This window comes from Homo sapiens, chromosome 7, assembly GCF_000001405.40.
Source record: "Homo sapiens chromosome 7, GRCh38.p14 Primary Assembly".
Taxonomy (NCBI): Eukaryota; Metazoa; Chordata; class Mammalia; order Primates; family Hominidae; genus Homo; species Homo sapiens.
In genome coordinates, this window is record NC_000007.14 from 45,648,363 (window position 1) to 45,667,651 (window position 19,289).

General features: G+C 50.7%; 1 protein-coding gene across 4 annotated transcripts in view; it reads left to right on the forward strand.

Annotated features, from left to right (window-relative positions):
* Positions 1 to 19,289, forward strand: part of ADCY1 (adenylate cyclase 1) — a 148,977-nt gene that overhangs the window by 74,223 nt on the left and 55,465 nt on the right. For 2 of the 4 annotated variants that reach the window (NM_001281768.2, XM_005249585.3), the window contains 5 exons: positions 308 to 435; positions 9,365 to 9,523; positions 11,680 to 11,821; positions 13,697 to 13,852; positions 15,927 to 16,318. In NM_001281768.2, coding sequence (NP_001268697.1) covers positions 308 to 435; positions 9,365 to 9,523; positions 11,680 to 11,821; positions 13,697 to 13,852; positions 15,927 to 16,013 — 672 coding nt within the window. In that variant the 3' untranslated portion in view covers positions 16,014 to 16,318. Of the gene's footprint in view, positions 1 to 307; positions 436 to 9,364; positions 9,524 to 11,679; positions 11,822 to 13,696; positions 13,853 to 15,926; positions 16,319 to 19,289 lie in introns of those variants that run through there. The other 2 variants (NM_021116.4, XM_005249584.4) reach the window with 1 other exon arrangement.

The window sequence follows — 19,289 nt, forward strand, 5'->3', positions numbered from 1 at the left end:
ACCTTGAATGATCATCCTGTAGGGTTGGCTCAGTGAAGCAGACAGGAGGGATGGACCCCCGAAGGGGAAAGAGGCCATGAGCGAGGTATGGGGAAAGGGAGAAGGAGATCAATGTGAGCCTGGTCCCAGCCCTCAAGACTGTGCTGACCACGCAAGGGTGTGGCCTGGGCGGGAAGGTGGTGGCCCAGGTGCAGCATGTCTTGCCAGCGCTCTGTGGCCACCAGTGTCTAGAGGTGGTGGAGCCAGCAGTGGCGCTCACAGCCTCTGTAGCGCTGTCTCTTACCATGTGCCTTGCCCTTCCCTGAAGGAGAACCACTGTCGCCGCATCAAGATTCTCGGGGACTGCTACTACTGCGTGTCGGGCCTCACCCAGCCCAAGACTGACCATGCCCACTGCTGTGTGGAGATGGGACTCGACATGATTGATACCATCACGTAAGTACCCCGTGGGGCTGAGAGGAGTGGCCTGGGGCATCTACACATTGAAATCCTAGAAGCTGAGCCACCTTCTGCCCCATGTGGGCTCCCCTCTCAGGGTCTCGCTTTGTCCTGATGGGTCTGTCTGAGGCTGCAGAGAATGATGCCAGCATTAGGAGGATGCTGGGTTCAGGAAAGCATGAAAGGATGCTTCCGTGATTCCCTGCCTTTACATTTCGTGTGTGGCTGTATTTCTTTGTCCACAGGAATCCTGCATATTGTCAGGTATGCATGAGTCATACAAAAATAAATTAGTCTTTAGCTTAGCCAGATAAGACATACAGAAAGGTTTGGCCCCAATCTAGCTGAATTCTCTATTAAAAGGAAGTAAATATGTGTGTTTCTCTTCACTCAGCAAGGTAACTGGGTCTCAGATGCTCTCTGTGTGGGGAGACAGGCTTGGGATCGGGGCAGGTGAGTCTTCATGGAATGAATATTACACCTGTGAGGCCAGGCCTGCCCATTTCTTGGTCAGTCTTATGTTGTCATTGTCCTTATCAGAGACTGGGATGAAGACACAGATGTTTTTGTCAAGTTAGGGAAGGTGTGGAGCTGGAAGGCTGAGCTAATGTATGGAGTGTAGATCCAAACAAACATCTCAAAATGTGGAGAGGTGGGTATGCTCCAATGAGATGGGGCCAACAGGGATTGGGGCATAGCTTCATACCTGGAGCGGAAAAGTAGTAGCATAAGAATTTTGTAGGGAGATGATGGGTAGTTGCAGGTGAAAGGATGCACAGGCAAACACCCCACCCAGCTAGGCTGAGAGATGGGGCGAGACTGCTGGCTCCCTTTGCCCCATCACTGCCTCGTGGGCTGCCCCATGCAGTGCTCCTGCAGACAGTGTGACTGGAAGGAGGCGGTTGGGAGGAGGCTGGTACCTCAAGCATTGTGCCCACTTCTGGCACCTGTGTGTCGGACACATGAGCAAAGCCGAGCCCTGTGGGGCAGCGGTTCACCAACACGGCTTCATGTCAGAGTTGCCTGTGAAAACCAAAGTCCCTGATGGTAGCTCCACCTCAAGAGCCCGAGGTGGCTGGTCTGGAGTGTGATCTAGGACTGAGAGTGGAAAAGCCCCCTCAGCTGACCTCAGTACACAGCCTAACAGAGAGCCATTGCCCCAGAGAAAAGCAGCCTGGCTGGAGGAGATGCTGGGCAGAAGCAGGAAGGAAGGAAAGATGCCTGGCGTGGAGAAGACTTAGAAGTGATGACCATCACCTGTTCTCTGAAAGGATGGGATGTTATCACAGCATATCATATATATTGTATGTTGCATCTCAGATGACATCATACATCACCTTACATCATGTATCACTTGTATATCATATGTCATATGTTACATGCCACATCATGTTTCATGTAATATATATCACATATATCACATATCACATAATCTACCATATAACATATCACATATTATATATCACACGTCATATAACTGTCTTTCGTATTTCTTAATGGATCACATCATATCACATTATGTCATAAATGACATTATATCACATCACATATCATATGCTATTTGTGTGTATATAGATAATATATCATATCAGATCTGGTTTTGTGTGATCTCCTTGGGGGAAAATGAGGCTCTGTAGGTGGATGCTTTAAGGAGACAGATGTCAGTCCATTTGCTTAGTAAATATTTGTGAAGCCCCCACTCGGTGCTGAGCACAGACACAAGCAGAGTTGAATGATGTGGGCTGACCTGGCTGACCAGGTGGCTCGTGGAGCTGAACTGGATGGCCTTCTGCCCTTGAAGGTTGGTGACCCTGACTGTGCCGAGTGGGGTCCTCCTGAGAGGGGTCTGCTGCTTATTCTTGGCCCCTGGTCTCCTTACCTGGCTGTGTATGCTCCTGTGCTCAGTAACACCCCATCTTTTGCTTGAGGTTCTGGGCCTTAAAGGGTGCTGTCCTTCCTTCTACTGTTTCTGCCCTGCATGTTGATGGGTTATAAGCTGTTTCTGCAGACGTGCCTCTTCCTGACCGCTGCCCAGGAAGCCCTGCGTCTACGCTCTGGTTCTGCACCTGGCCTGGAGCTGCCTGGAGCTGCAAACCCACCTGGCTTGCTCCACTTTCTGGTTCACTTGCTCCATGAACCTGTGTCCTCTTGGCCAGCTCTCCTGGCATTCCAGCTGCTGGCTCTCAGTCTGTGAGATTCTCCAGGATTTGGTGCCTTCAGCTCCACATCTCTACCCCTGCTACCTGAAACTGGTCTACCCTAGTGCCAGGGGCATCTTCCTGGGCCTCCTGTAGCTGCTGTCTGCTTGGGCTCCTGATTACCAGAGTGTTCCCAGGGCCTCAGGAAGCTCTACACGCCAGAGTTCCTGTCACTCAGCTTCCTGGCTCTGGACCGGAAGAAAAGCCACCGAAGACTGAGCACGGAAGATGCCTCCCAGCCAAACAGACCCTTCTTCCTCCTCAGACTGTCACAGACCCTGGGACCCACCAGTGTGTGCTCTGCACGGCCGGCCTTCTGTTGGGACCATCTTGGCATCTGGTGCATCCCCTGCCAGCCACATTGGGCTGTGTGTGTCCCTGCCTTGCACATGCAGGATGGAATATGTTTATCAACAGGGGGAGCTTGCCCAGGCAGAGGAGGACACTTTATATAATGTCTTTCTCTTCCTCCTACCTTGGAGTGGAGTGTTTTATTTGAAACTTTGGAAATACAAAGTTTCAGGTGAACAGGTGAAGTGGCCAGAGCTAACCTTTCCCCGCAGGGCTCCATGCTGGGCCTCGCAGCTGGCCCACTGATTCTGTTTGCTCCCCGCCACTCCTCAGTAGCGAGGTCTGCACTCTCAACTGCATTTTTTTCCTGTCTTGAGTCTGATTCTGTTCCAGAAAGCCCTTCCCATCTCCAAAGGAGCGGGCCATGCCCCAAGACACTAATTTCAGTAATTGCCCACTGACTTCCTCTTTTAATAGAGTCCTCGGTGGCAGGCTCAGTGCCTGAGTGACCAGGAAGGAGAGGGGCCTGCAGGTCAGATGTGTCCCTTTCCAAGGCCCACAGAGAGGTCTGTTCCAGGCTTGGGGAATTCTGAGTGGGCAGAGGAAATCCTAAGGCACATAAGGAATGTGTATTAGTCTGTTGTCACACTGCTATAAAGAACTACCTGAGACTGGGTAATTTAAGACGAAAAGAGGTTTAATTGACTTGTAGTTCTACAGGCTGTACAGGAGGCATGGCTGGGAGGCCTCAGGAGACTTACAATCATGGCGGAAGGCAAAGGGGAGGCAAGCACGTCTTCTCATGGCGGCAGGAGAGAGAGAGCAAAGGGGAAAGAGCTACACACTTTCAAACAACCAGATCTCGTGAGAATTCACTCACTATCATGAGAAAAGCAAGGGGGACATCCACCCCCATGATCCAGTTACCTCCCACCAGGTCCCAACATTGGGAATTACAACTGGACATGAGATTTGGGTGGGGACGTAGAGCCAAATCATATCAGGATGGTTTGGCTGGTTGGAAGATTCTTGAAGCATCCCATGCAGATTCCGTGGTTCCAGAGGCTGCTCTGATAGAGGGTGGGTGTTGGGGCTCCATTGTCAGCCTCTTTTCAGGCCAATGCTTTGCTGGTAGCACAAGAAAGAAATTGCTGCAGGTGCAGGCAAGCATGCAGCCAGAGCTGGGTCTTGATTTCTGAGGCTGGAGAAAGTCTTTTCCTTGTTGAACAAGTGGGAAAGATCTTGTTTTATCGCTTTGAAGAATGTTTATTCCTATGGGAAAAACGGATAGACATATTTTCCTTTTCTGATCTGTAAACCTAGGCCTCCCACGCCTAGCATCTAGTCCTTTTTCATGCAGATCGGTCATTTGGGAAGAGTCTAGGACCCGTTTTGTCAAATGCCTGTGGGCCTAGTGAGGCTCCAGTGTGAATCAAGGTGGGGCTGAGAGAGGCCCTCTGAAGTGCAGGGTGGGGCATCTCTTTGTAAAGACATGGTGAAGAATGCTGGACTTGAAAGTGGGATCCCAGGGCCCCTACCTTCCTCAGCCACCAAGCTTAGCCATCCTGGCCCTCTGGGAGCCACAGCATCCAAAGGCCAGAGCAGTGGGCTGGGGCATCTCCAAGGCTCTGGGCTCCTGCAGATGGCCCTGGGCAGTCTGACCCTGCCCCCAGCTTACTTGCCCTGACCTCCACCTCTCTCTCAAACTTGGGCTCTATTTAGGAGTGTGGTATACTATTTTGGAAATGCCCGTTAATTTTTATTGGTATGATTCTTAGTGAATGCTTTAAAAGTGATATACATTCCCTGTTTGGGCCAGGTGGTTCCTGTCTATAGGAGAGATGAAGATGGGATGAGAAGTATCCTAACTGTCCAGTGAGTTTGGTGACTGTGCTGGTCTTGCTCCTGAAGAGCTGTGTGACCCTGGACATGTTCCTTTTGTCTTGGAGCTTCAGTTTTCCCCCTCTGTAAAATGGCCAATTCTGCCTCATGACATCCTGTCTCTGAGCCCACAGAGCATTGGAAAGATGAGGGTGGCAGGACCAACCTCCCAGCTGCTGCAGCCAGGCTGACAAGACCAGGCCCTGTGTCCTGAGGTTTGGGGCCAGTCCTTGACCTTGAATTTCCAATGGGATTTCTGCAGGACTGCCCGCGATGCCCAGACTGCAGGGACACAGGCAGCACATCAGTCCCTGTGTCAATCTGAGACCTTCCACGTGTTAAGAGTCTTAGTCTGAGGCTTCCCAATGTTCCCTCTCTGTATTCCATACCTGGAAGTCATGTGTGACACTCTTGGGGCAGAAAGAAGGGGGCATTTTCTCCTGCTGGTGAAGTCAGATGAGGCCTGAACCCCTCCCTGGGGCCTGGCTTGGGGGATACTCAGGTTTGAGTCCCTCTCCCCCACTGGGGCTTTGCTCTGTGTGAGGTCTGTGCTCACCCACCTTCTTCTGCTCATACCCCTCTCCTCTGACACGCACCACCAGCTCTGCTGCTCTCCCAGAGTTGCCCTGAGTATTAGGTCACCCTAGGAAGTTGCTCCTAGTCAGCCAGTTCTGGCCTACCAAAATGGCATTTCATATGGTTTCAGCTACCTCATCCCCAGCTGCTGTGTTTCTTGAGTGGGCTGGGGGGCTTCTGATTTCAGGAACCTGCTAGATTCTTGGCTCCCATCCTTCAGGCGATGCTTCAGGTTCCTCGAGTCCTTAATTTTCTTTGCAGTAAAATGGAGAAACAGTGTTTGCATCTCTGAGTTGTTTTGATAATTTAATGAGATCTCAGATTAAATGGGCCTGCATGGACTGGGTTCTAGCAGCCGCTGCAAGTATTGATTCATCAGCTCCCAGAAAGAGGGAGCCGGTGGCCAATATGGCAGGATTCTATCTGAAGCCACATGGTTCTGTGTACCCATAGGAATGTGGATTTTTCTGTCCACTTCATGGGGGAAGCCTTGTTCGTCACAGGTGATAGGCAAACCGTGAATCAGATTTTGAACAGGAACCTCATTCTTCCACATGACCACCAAGTATGCAAGCCACCATTTTTGCTAAATAGACTCAATCCAGATGCCTTGCTGGCAGTGTGTATTTTTGGTTTACTACATTGAATTAAATTAGAAGTAAATGGCATGTGCTTTTCCTCCCTGACCCACTTTTGAGCTGCTAAGTTCAGCTTGTGTGTGCTGTGGTCGTCAGTAGAACTTGATTGTCCCCCAGCCTGCATCCCTGGAGGTCGTGCGAGAAGGGATGCCTGCTGGCCTTGTCTGCCTGGCACTTGGGCTGTCCCCAGCAGTATCTTACTTTTTAACAAGGGGGCTAGTGTGTGCCACATGGAGCATGCTTCAGTTTCTCAGCGCAGAGAAACTTGGAGGATTACTTCGTCTAATTATTGGATTCTAGTTTTCAGAGCCAGACCTGTTGATACATTTAGGGATGGATTTTCTGTGGGAGAGGTGATGCCTGTGTGCACACACTTCTACAACCACCACACGTGGTTTTCCCTAAAATTTTAGGGGACATGGAGCTTCTGAATCTTTATATTCTAGATCGAGAAGCTGCATTTTTACAGTTAGGGAAACTGAGTCCTAGGTAGGGAAGGGAGGAGCCCAAGTTGAGGTGATGAGCTTGAGCCACCTGAGGCTGAAACCATTTGCCCTGCCCTTCCCGCCACACAAGGATGGGGGCTTGGAGGCTGCTGCAGGCGTGTGTGTTGTTGTTATTTCTAGAAATTCTGCCTAGGTGACAGTAAATCGGCCTCTATGGTGTCCTCTCTTCTCTTTTTTTCCCCCTGTTATGTGCACAGCTATAGCTACAGTGCTTGAAATAATGGCTGACACTCAGTAGATGTTTGTTGAACAAGTGAATGAATGTATGCTTACCTGTCCTTTCACTTCCAAGCTTCAGTGCAGCCATGACTAGGTTTCAGCTCTGCCAGAATTTACTCACGCCAAGGGGCCAACAGTGGCCCCCTCTGCCAGAGGTGGGTTGCTTCCTCATTTCCTTCCTGTTGGGGTCCAGCTCAGAGGACCAAGGTCAGGGCTGTAGGTGGTGGGCAAGTGTCAGACTCTTCCTCTGCATAAAAAACACTTGTGATAAATAAGTGAACCTGAGAGCACAAGTAAAGAAAAAACATAGTACAAATAAAGCCAAGAAAGTCCGTGGAAATTCTGTTCCTTGGAAATGAAGTTAAAGGTTCTGTTGGATTTAGACGAAGCCAGCTTGGGCATCCCAGGAATGGTGAAACCAAGAGGAGTCACTATGAGAACAGTTCTGGGTGCATCAGTTTTTTAGAAGTAACTGTTCAGTTAACGGCAGATCTGATGTTACCAAGAATTGAGATCTTTGAGGCAGAACCGACTGGGAAAGATTGAAGATGGAGAGTATTGGTAGAACATGGTGGCGTGGATTTGGTTGGAGGCTGGTCGAGGTGCCACTTGCTAGGAGCCTAAAGGTTTGCTTTGGTGAGCTCGAGGGGATCTGGGGATGAAGGTGGGCATGGGTCCCAGAAGTCTCCGTGCCATTTACTGTTTCATGGCTTCGGAGGCACAAACACTAACAGTGCACAAAAACGTTATTAGTATGTTATGTTATTTACATTTTCCCGTACTCATTTCCTTTTGTGAATTTTGAAAAATAAATTTTTTATTTCAGCGTTTGGTTTCAGTGCCTCAAAGAAGATTGGCAAACAACTGAAAAAAAGTTAAAATAAAAAAGTATATTCAGCTGGGCATGGTGGCTCACACCTGTAATCCCAGCACTTTGGGAGGCCAAGGCAGGCAGATCACGAGGTCAGGAGATTGAGACCATCCTGGCTAACATGGTGAAACCCCGACTCTATTAAAAATACAAAAAAAAAATAAAAATAAAAATTAGCTGGGCATGGTGGTGGGCGCCTGTAGTCCCAGCTACTCGGGAGACTGAGGCAGGAGAATGGTGTGAACCCGGGAGGCGGAGCTTGCAGTGAGGGGAGATAGCGCCACTGCACTGCAGCCTGGGCGACAGAGCGAAACTCCGTCTCAAAAAAAAAAAAAAGTATATTCAAAATATGTAAAACTACATAGGTATTAAAGATATATCAGTAGTCTAACTTCCACATAATGTAAATCTGTGGCATGCATACTTCTGAGTTTACTGAGGTTTCTGAACGTGTGCTGGGACTTGTGTGATTCTGTGGTCTGGGCAGCCATCTGCCTTGGAGTGGCTGCTGGGGCCTCCATGTGCTATGGTTTTTGGGCACAGGCCCTTGTAAGGATGAAGTGGGTAGTGATGGGCAGCTGGCAAGGGTTTGAGTGGAGGTTGGGGAAGCAGTGGGGTTGTGTGGAGCAGGTGCTCCCTGAGCCTTGGCTGGGGCTCCAGGAAGCAGGCCACAGTGGGAAGTTGGGGTGAAGGTGAACCAGACACAGGCTTCTCGGGTGGGTGGCACAGCCTTGCCTTGCATGTACCGAGTTGTTATTGACAAATGTGATATACAGAGGCCTCTAGAATGGGACTCCAGGCTGAGCTGGTTTGCTGTCACCACCTGATGGCCCACCCCTTAGTCCTTGGAGCTTTTGTTAGTATTTCCATCCCGGATGGAATAGAAAGAGGAGGTTGGCCTCTTAAGCCTTGAGATGTACTGGGTTAGAGTTTAAATGATTTCAAAGCTTGTCAAAGTGAATTTAGCTGGAGCTGGGTGTATACACGAGGAAACTGAGGCATAGAGATGGGCATCGTGTACCCAAATTCGGCCAGGCTGGCCTGGGGTTTCCCAGAAGCCCTCAGTTCTCTCACCACCTGCTCTGCCTCTTTTCCCTTCCCTAATACCCCTTGCCATACTCTGTTGTCCCCACCCCAGCTCCTGGTGAATGCCCCTCATGTCACCAGCTTCTCATGTCTGGATGTGGCCTCCAGGCCTTGACCATAAGTTTGCATTGAGGCCTAAGGCCAAGTGTGTGTCAGGAAGGGGTGGGAGGCAGAGCCTGATGCCTGGGCTGCAGATCCTGTGGATGTTTCCAGCAGGTTGTCATCTGCATCTGGCTGGCAAGCAGGCATGGGTCCCTGCGAGGGAGCAGTGGCCTCACAGAGCCTTATGTTAATCTGAACTGTCCTGATGCCACACTCCACAGTAATGACCAGGTCCACCTGGGATTTGGGGACTGCCCTGGTCAGGGAGGGCCCTCTAGGAGGCCATGAATGGAACTCATGAGTCTGGTGTGGACATGGTGCGAGCTGGCTGGGAGCATGGGCCAGAGCCACCCCTCCTGCCTAAGGCCCTCAGCCCACAGGTGGGCAGGAAGGCTCCATGTCCACTGACTATGCCAGGAGACCTCCACGCTCAGGCCACATGCAGCAAGGACAAGACCCAGTTTCCCTGGTGCTCACAGCCTAGCAGTGCAGACCAAGGTGGCCCCCTGGGAGGATACAAGGTGGGCCCTAGCCCCACGCTCTGTGTCTGTGTTGCAGATCTGTGGCTGAAGCCACCGAGGTGGATCTGAACATGCGTGTGGGTCTGCACACGGGCAGGGTCCTCTGTGGTGTCCTGGGCTTGCGCAAGTGGCAGTACGACGTGTGGTCCAATGATGTGACCTTGGCCAATGTCATGGAAGCCGCTGGCCTGCCAGGGTAAGTCGGGGATGGGGTGGGGAGGGGAGGGAGGTGGGTGATGGCTGTGCACCCCTGGGCTAAATCCTTGCTTCAGGTTCTGGGCTGTGCTCTTGAGGGCACTTGTGTGAGTGCTCCTGGAGGAGCCTGCCTGTCCCAGCCGCACCTGCCAACCAGACTCCCTGTGGTGGGCGTCCCACCCAGCCTGGCTGCCAGTCTGTGCTGGGCCCAGCTGAGCCTGGCGCACATCTACAAAAAGCTGTCATTGGACCAGAAGGCCAGAGCAGATGCGTGTGGGGACCTCTGCCCATGGCATGGTGCTGTCCTCATGGCTTGTTGTCACTGCATCACTTCTCTTTTTGCTGTCTTTGATTTCATTTTCTCAATGTGCAAATGGAAAGTGCTGGGACTTTAGAGCTCCTTCTCCACCCCCAAGCTCCACACAGCCATCTAGGAGCTCATGGACATCTGGGTCACAGATGATGCCTTCTTTGAGCTCTCTGAGAAGTGCCATGGGCTGTTGATGGCTGTGCACCGTGGCAGGCTCAGCCTTGTCTTGAGGAAGATTTCCATGCACCCCTCTGCCACCCCCAGGTCCTGTAATCTCCCTTTTGTATGATCTCGCAGTGGCTATCATGGCAGGCAGCTTCTCCAGAACACTGGCTGCCCCTCAGCAGGCAACTTTTGCAGAACACTGGCTGCCCCTCAGTGTGCCCGGGGCTCAGCATAAAGCAGGGGCTTCAGTGAGAGCTGGTGTTTTCCTCTCCCCGTTGGCTCCCAAGGCCGGGCTATGCAGCCGCTGTCTTCATTGCTGATGGAATGGATGAAGCATCAGCTGAACACAGGAATGCACAGACACTTGCCTTTCTGGAGACTGTGGTGACTGGAAGTTTCCAGACAGCCTCGGTGACCGTTGTAGTTCAGGGCCAGGCTGATGGGGGTGACAGTGTCCCCAGGTGCTTCCAGGGCCCCTCCGGGGGGGCAGGAAGCAGCAAGGGTTGAGGCTTGCCGTGAGCGCCCTGCCTGCCCCAGGCCAATGGGAGCTGCTGATGGGGACACCCAGGGAGCATCCCAGCAGGGACTGGGCCCGGGGATCCAAGCACTCTGAGTTGATGACAGGAATCGGCCCCTGTAGATGGGGCAGCACAGGGACAAGCTGAGGCTGGAGTCAGAACCTGCCTGTGCTGCCCTCTGGCCCCTTTGCAGCCTCTCTTCCTGGCCTGGCAGTCCCTCCCTGTCCCTCCTTCTCCCACCCCCTGCTCCTCTGGGGATCCTGGTGGAGCCACTGCTGGGAAAGGCCTCGTGATCTCCTGAGCCCTGTCCTCACCCTCTCAGGATCCCAGTGAGCATGGCAGCTCTGCCTTCAACTGCCTCCTATCTGAGCCAGGCTCCCTGCTTTCGTCCTCAGCCAGCCTTAGAGTTTAATTATGAATCCCAAGCTTTTCCCCTGCGAGGAGTTCAGAAGGTTGTGCGGTGAAGTGAAGAACTGGGTTTGCAGGGAATGGTTTTGGAAGGTGGGGAGTTTGCTTCTCGCCCCATAAACCTGCGAGCTCAGGCGTGCCCTGCTAAGGAGCAGAGACTGTGGGTGTTCGTTTTCTGCTGAGACGATGCCAACTGTGGGGGATTTTCCTGTCCTCACCAGAAGATTGGGTTGGGGAGGCGTGAATGCCTGGGCTCCACAGCGTTTCTTACCACCCTGCTTCCCACCCCACCTCATGTGTGAACACCGTGGCCACCCCTGACTTCTTGCTACCCAGTGGGGTCTGCCCACTCCTTGTGCTGACCAGACCAGACCATGGCTGGGGAGGGACTCCCATGTCTCCTCTCCTCTTTCTCTTCTTCACATCACTGCCCATTTTTTCCTCAACTTCCCTAATGAGTCCTGATGTATTCTTTCTCTCTCTCTCTTGGTTCCTCTGCTCTCCCTCTGGCCCTGTGTCCCCCACCTCAGCCATCCCTGCTGTCCTGCTGGGCATGGTTCCTGATGGCCCTACTGTATCTGCCTGGGCCCTCCCTCCTGGCATGGACGGACTTGCATGGGAGCATGAATACTCCCCGTGGAGCCTGCCCTGGTGTGGGGAAGCCTCTGTCTGTGCCCCTTCCCCTCTGGTAAGGCCCTGCAGACTCTGACAGCAGTGGTTCCCCACTCATCTGGCCTCTGCCTCCTCCTTTTGTAGGAAGGTTCATATCACAAAGACGACCCTAGCGTGCTTGAATGGGGACTACGAGGTAGAACCGGGTTACGGACATGAGAGGAACAGTTTCTTGAAAACTCATAACATCGAAACCTTTTTTATTGTGCCATCCCATCGCCGAAAGGTAGGCACCAGAGCCCCCCTCATTTGGTTGATCCTTAGCTTCTTGGCCTGTGCAGAGCTTTACAGATGTGACTCCTCCTGCTTCCTCTCCAAGCACTGCTTCTCTGGGCTGTGAACTTGCTAAGATGGGGAGAGTTGTCCCCACTGACACCGTCCTGAGCCTTGTCTCTTACTGGTGTGGGGAGGGGTCTAGGTAAGGGAGCCAGAACCCCTAGTCAGAGATCTGGGATCACCTCGGGGCAGGCCGTTCTGTGTCCTCCTTCCCCTTCCTGGGCCTTCACTGCCTCCCCTGCAAAGTGGGCATGAAACCCCGCAGGGGGGCCAGGGATGGGGAGCTCTGTGAACTGAGGGGTGCTGGGCACAGAGGTGGGCTGTTACCGTCTTACATGGGGCACTTGAGGTCACCCTGCCCAGAGAAAAGTGGTCTGGACATGATCAAGAGTGATCAAGTCACTTTCAGGGTCCATGTGAGGGGTCAGGCTCAGGTGAGGGTGCAGGACTCAGGTGAGGGGTTCAGGCTCAAGTGAGGTGTTCAGGGGACAGGTGAGGTGTTCAGGGCTCAGGTGAGGGGTTCAGGGCTCAGGTGAGGGTGCAGGGCTCAGGTGAGGGTGCAGGGCTCAGGTGAGGGATTCAGGGCTCAGGTGAGGTGCAGGGCTTAGGTGAGGGTTCAGGGCTCAGGTGAGGGGTTCAGGGCTCAGGTGAGGTGTTCAGGGCTCGTGAGGATGCAGGGCTCAATTGAGGGTGTAGGGCTCAGGTCAGGGGTTCATGGCTCAGGTGAGATGTTCAGGGCTTAGGTGAGGGGTTCATGGCTCAGGTGAGGGATTCAGGGCTCAGGTGAGGGGTTCAGGCTCAGGGGAGGGTCGATGCCTCAGGTGAGGGTGCAGAGCCATTACTGTGTTGGCTCTTCTTAAAGAAACAATTTGTGGGAGCTAGTCATTGTGCACCCCAGTGGATGCAGGCCCCTGGGCTCTGTCACATTGACATAGACAATAGTATCCAGTCCTGTAGTTTGAGGGTGAAAGGGGGTGACAAGATAGGTACAGTATACAGCCCCACTTTAGAGAAGTTTGAATAGCGGGAGGGGAAGAGTGAGAATGCTCAGAAGAAGGGGATTTTGTTGTTTTGAAGAGTGGAGATTTGTACCTACCTGTAGGGGCCAGAGAAAGTGAAGTTGAGAGGTAGGCAGCGAGGCCAAGGAAGGGGTACCGCATTCCTGGAGAGGAGATGGGGTCAGAGCTGCTGTGGGGGTGCAGGAACTTTGGACTCACTCAGAAGACAGGCCGGCCAGCAGGAACGATGACAGTGGAGCATTCATGGGGTCCCACTTTCCTATCACCTCATTTGACCTTGAGAAGGCCCCAGCGGGTGAGTGGGTGATGTTCATCCGATTTTACAGATGGAATTTCACCCAGAACATGAGGACTGTGAGGGAATTGAGGTTCTGAGCCTCAGCTGGGTGCACTGCCCAGCCCTCCCCATCCTCCCCATGCGATTTCTTTCCTTGTCTGTAGAAGGGGACATACTGGAAACTGAACGGGGTAACAAAGACCTTCATTCCAAGCCCTGGTTGTCTTTCCTGACCAGGGCCTCCAGCCTTCCCCCGCACTTTGCTTCAGGATTCCGAGCATCACGTAGGCTTTTAGAGGCCTTTGGTGCGGATTGAGAATGGAACGTTTTGGACGTGGCCCTCCCAATATGGTTTTGTTTGCTGCTCTATTCTGGGCACGTTCCCCAATGCCTGGCTTGAAGTAGGCGCTGAGCAAATGAATCCCAGTGCCCTGGGGTGGCTGTGTTTGTCAGGATGGCATTCCCAGTCCGAGAGGCACAATGTGTCTCATTCACAGCATTTCTCCTTGCCCCTTGTGTGTTTGGACAGATATTTCCAGGCCTGATTCTCTCAGATATAAAACCGGCCAAAAGGATGAAGTTCAAGACTGTCTGCTACCTGCTGGTGCAGCTCATGCACTGCCGGAAAATGTTCAAGGCCGAGATCCCCTTCTCCAATGTCATGACCTGCGAGGACGATGACAAGGTAGGAGCAGCCAGGGAGCCTGCCATGCTGGAGCTGCCAGGGACTGATCTCTGTCCTGCCCTCCCAATATGGCCCCCGTGCCATTTGGCTAGATCAGAATTCCCTGTTCACATGTGGATAATCTTGTAAATGCTGCTCAGAGCTGAGCTACTTTTTATTTCCTGCAAAAGTCATTATAGTGTACTTTTTTACTCCTTGGCATTCTTTGTATTTGTCCATAATCCATGTATTTATTCCTGTTTATCCATAAATTCAAGCTAAAATTCCCCACCTGCTGTCTAAATGGCCTCTGAGGGTATTCATTCTGGACAGATGTGCTAGGCCCTCCCTCCTTAGGTGGATTTCACACTAAGGCTGGCCCTACCCACCTGTCATCCTTGCCCCCAGCGTCCAAGCCTGTGCCTCATCTGTCTGTGCCTGTGCGGCTTCCTGGCTCCCTCTCTATGCAGGAGCTCGCTGCCTGCAGATGGCCTTCCTCTGTTACTCTCGGTTAGCAGCCCAGCCAGGACGTCCAGACGAGCAAAACAGCAAAACAGTCTTCTCAGCAGTCTCCACCTCTGACCCCTCGCCCGCAGTGCCTGATTCCCCACCCCCGGACCCCAGGCTTCCCAGCTTTGCGTCAGGTGCTGTGGGCAGGGCGAGCCCGGAAGCCTGGAAGCCTGGGCTTTTGCAGTTCCAGTGTCACCCCTTCATCACCATCTGCCCCCCAGACAGGGCTCCATACTGCTGCTGCCTTGTGATGAGTGAAAGCAAGTCAGAAATGGGGAGGAGAATAGCGTCTCCACTGCAGGAGCCATCAAAGGGTGGTGACAGGGCATGGCAGGCAGGTAGTCTCTGCAGAGATGTCTGTGGTGGTCCCAGTAGGGCGTGTGCCTAGGACAAGAGGAACAGGTGCAGTCTGTGTGCACAGAGCAGCCCCAACCTGCAGCAGTCACCCTCTGCAGGCGTCCAGGCCTGTTACCACTTTCTTCTCTGCCGCTCTGCTACCCGCACCTCCAGACTCAGCCCAGGCCTGCCAGCCTCAGCGTTTGATGGAGCCCAGCCTTGGAGCTGGAGTTAGGCGTCAGGTGGGAGAGTGCATGTGCCGTCTGTGACCTTGGTGCAGCTTTGTGAGCAAACGTGTCCAGAGTTCAGGGGAATGTCTTACAAAGGCTCTTGGACAGACTGGGACCACCTCAAACTGTCCTCTTCCTCAGGGTCCCTGTTCCCCAGCTGTGCTCATTCAGGGGTGTGGGAGCCAGGGCAGAGGGGACTGGCCTCTAGGTGGCGGTGTTGCACAAGGGCCCAGTCGCAGCCAGGCGGGCGGGAGCTGTTAAAATTATTTGGCTGGATCGGTGGGCTCATGCCTCTAATCCCAGCACTTTGGGAGGCCAAGGCAGGCGGATCACGAGGTCAGGAGTTCAAGACCAGCCTGACCAACATGATGAAACCCCATCTGTACTAGAAATACAAAAATTAGCCGGGCGTGGTGGCACATGCCTGTAGTCCCAGCTACTCTGGAGGCTGAGGCAGGAGAATCGCTTTAACCCGGGAGGTGGAGGTTGCAGTGAGCCGAGATTGTGCCACTGTAGTCCAGCCTGGATGGCAGAGTGAGACGGTGTCTCAAAAAAAAAAAAGAAAAAGAAAATTATTCAGTGACACTTGCTCAAACATAGTAAGATGCTCTGTATGTGGGACCATAGCTATAGCATAGGAACCACGGCAGTGGAATGGAGTCGTGCTGTTGCGGGGAGAGGTTAGACTCAGCTCCTAACAGAAGGAGGGGAGTGAGGGTCAGTGGATGGAAAATTTCTAAGAGGAAACATAGGGGTAAGGGGATTGTGGCCAACTGACCTAGCACGATTCTTGCTGAAGACAGGCCTAGGTGATCAGGCCTCCCCTGGGGGCTGGTGGAGGGTGAGGAACCTGATCAGATAGGTGGGGGATGGGATATTGAGGGTGGGGCGTTCCTGCTAAAACTGGATTTTACAAGGAAGTGCACCGTTGGGCCTAGGAGAAGTTTCAGAGCCTGGCTAAAATTTGGTCAAGCAGAGAAGCTGTGTCGGACCCCACACATCTGATGCCTCTCCTGTAGGTTCAGATCCATCCCTCACTGAGTGGCCTGGATGTCCTCCTGGGGTTTTGGTCTCCCACCCTGCAACGGGGACGACTGTGCACGTAGCTTCAGGTCCTGCCCAACAGCCACTGTCACCAGTGCTGCAAGGATGAGCTCCTGCCATCAGCCCTTATCCCCCAGGGCATTCACGCCAGCTCTGTTCTTCTCTCAGCACTCTCTCCTGATCGTAAACATAATTGATTATGGAAAATATGGAGAACACAAAGATGCACAAGGGAGAAAATGAAAAGCATTTATCTGGAATCCTACCATCTCACAAAAAAGCTATCATGAACATTTTGTTCCTTCCAGTTTCTTAAGTTTGTGTGTCTGTATTTTTTTAATAAACTTGACTGGATGGTACACAGGCAGTTTGGTTGCTTGTTTTTTTTTTTAATTGCCAATATATCATAAACATTTCCTTCCATTATTAAATACTTGCCAAAAATATGATTTTTTGGTCCTTATTTTACTTTAAGTTCTGGGATACATGTGCAGAACGTGCAGGTTTGTTACATAGGTATACATGTTCCATGGTGGTTTGCTGTACCCATCAACCCGTCATCTAGGTTTTAAGTCCCGCATGCATTAGGTATTTGTCCTAATGCTCTCTCTTCCCTTTCCTCCCACCCGCTGACAGGCCTCTGTGTGTGATGTTCCCCTCCCTGTATCCATGTATTCTCATTGTTCAATTTCCACTTATGAGTGAGAACATGCGGTGTTTGGTTTTCTGTTCCTGTGTTAGTTTGCTGAGGATGATGGTTTCCAGCTTCATCCATGTCCCTGCAAAGGACATGAACTCATTCTTTTTTATGGCTGCAAAAATATGATTTTTAAAAATCATTATATAGATTTGCAGCCTAAGAAACCATTTACTTAATCAACCTCCATTGATATTTAGGTTATTTCTGTTATATTTAAATGAAGCAAATCGTGGACAGAGCTTTTGGTCATGAAAATACGTTTACTTCTCTGATGGTTTTGTGTAATGGAATCCAGAGAGTCAAGTGTCTGCCTGAGTGTGTGCAGCCTGTTAGGGTAGTTACGCTCATCGCCCACTGGGCCCACCAGGTGGGGAACATGACATTGCCTGCCTGAGTCACCGTGGAACACGTCTCTATTCCAGTTTCCTAATACCTGGCAGCACAGTTGTCTCCTCTAATAGGTACACCCAGAAGCCTCCCAATTCAGTCTCTCTCTCTTTTTATTGAGCGCTTCTTTTGTTCTTCTCTTCACACTTAAATATTTAAGCTTGAATTAAAAAATAAAAGCAACATCCACACATGATACAAAAATTAAGTCTTCCAAAATGTTTGCCATTTTGTATTTCCTTCTAGAAAATCAATTTGGGTGTGCACCAGAGGTTAATGCAAATAGAAGTTTATCATTTTGTCTTCCACACCTTTTCACTAGGTGACAGACTTTAGAAATCTTGGAGTCATTTCTAAGTGGCTGGATGGCCTCCCACTGCAGGAGGGAGGGAGGGATGTGACTTTACCACTGGCTTGTTGGTTGCTGGGGACTTTATTTCTAGAGGTTGATCTCATGTCTACTGGTGTCATGAACATCTTTTTTCACAAATGTCTTAGTAAATCTTACGAGGATAGCCTAGGGGTATTTCTTTGTAGTGGAATTGCTGGGTTAAATGGTGTGTCTGTTTTAATTTTGGATAGCTGTTGCCAAATTGTTCTCTCTCAGGCACTTGCTGTGCTCGCTCGCACCACTGATGCACCTGAGCCTTGGTTTCCTGAATGGAGTCAGCTCTGTGTTTTAGCATGGTTTAAAAAATCACCAGTATGCTCAATGCAGTGTCTTTTCTTTTCTCTCTCTTTTTTTTAAATTATACTTTAAGTTTTAGGGTACATGTGAACAATGTGCAGGTTAGTTACATATGTATACATGTGCCATGTTGGTGTGCTGCACCCATTAACTCGTCATTTACATTAGGTATATCTCCTAATGCTATCCCTCCCCACTCCCCCCACACCACAACAGGCCCTGGGGTGTGATGTTCCCCTTCCTGTGTCCAAGTGTTCTCATTATTCAATTCCCACATGTAAGTGAGAACATGCGGTGTTTGGTTTTTTGTCCTTGCGATAGTTTGCTCAGAATGATGGTTTCCAGCTTCATCCATGTCCCTACAAAGGATATGAATTCATCATTTTTTATGGTATTCCATGGTGTATATGTACCACATTTTCTTAATACAGTCTGTCATTGTTGGACATTTGGGTTGGTTCCAAGTCTTTGCTATTGTGAATAGTGCCGCAATAAACATACGTGTGCATTTGTCTTTATAGCAGCATGATTTATACCCCTTTGGGTATATACCCAGTAATGGGATGGCTGGGTCAAATGGTATTTCTAGTTCTAGATCCCTGAGGAATCGCCACACTGTCTTCCACAATGGTTGAACCAGTTTACAGTCCCACCAACAGTGTAAAAGTGTTCCTATTTCTCCACATCCTCTCCAGCACCTGTTGTTTCCTGACTTTTTAATGATCGCCATTCTAAGTGGTGTGAGATGGTATCTCATTGTGGTTTTGATTTGCATTTCTCTGATGGCCAGTGATGATGAGCATTTTTTCATGTGTTTTTTGGCTGCATAAATGTCTTCTTTTGAGAAGTGTCTGTTCATATCCTTCGCCCACTTTTTGTTGGGGTTGTTTGATTTTTTCTTGTAAATTTATTTGAGTTCTTTGTAGATTCTGGATATTAGCCCTTTGTCAGATGAGTAGATTGCAAAAATTTTCTCCCATTCTGTAGGTTGCCTGTTCACTCTACTGGTAGTTTCTTTTGCTGTGCAGAAGCTCTTTAGTTTAATTAGATCCCATTTGTCAATTTTGGCTTGTGTTGCCATTGCTTTTGGTGTTTTAGACATGAAGTCCTTGCCCATGCCTATGTCCTGAATGGTATTGCCTAGGTTTTCTTCTAAGGTTTTTATGGTTTTAGGTCTAACATTGAAGTCTTTAATCCATCCTGAATTAATTTTTGTATAAGGCGTAAGGAAGGGGTCCAGTTTCAGCTTTCTACATATGGCTAGCCAGTTTTCCCAGTACCATTTATTAAATAGGGAATCCTTTCCCCATTTCTTGTTTTTGTCAGGTTTGTCAATGATCTGATAGTTGTAGATGTGTGGCATTATTTCTGAGGGCTCTGTTGTGTTCCATTGGTCTATAACTCTGTTTTGGTACCAGTACCATGCTGTTTTGGTTACTGTAGCCTTGTAGTATAGTTTGAAGTCAGGTGGCATGATGCCTCCAGCTTTGTTCTTTTGGCTTAGGATTGACTTGGCGATGTGGGCTCTTTTTTGGTTCCATATGAACTTTAAAGTAGTTTTTT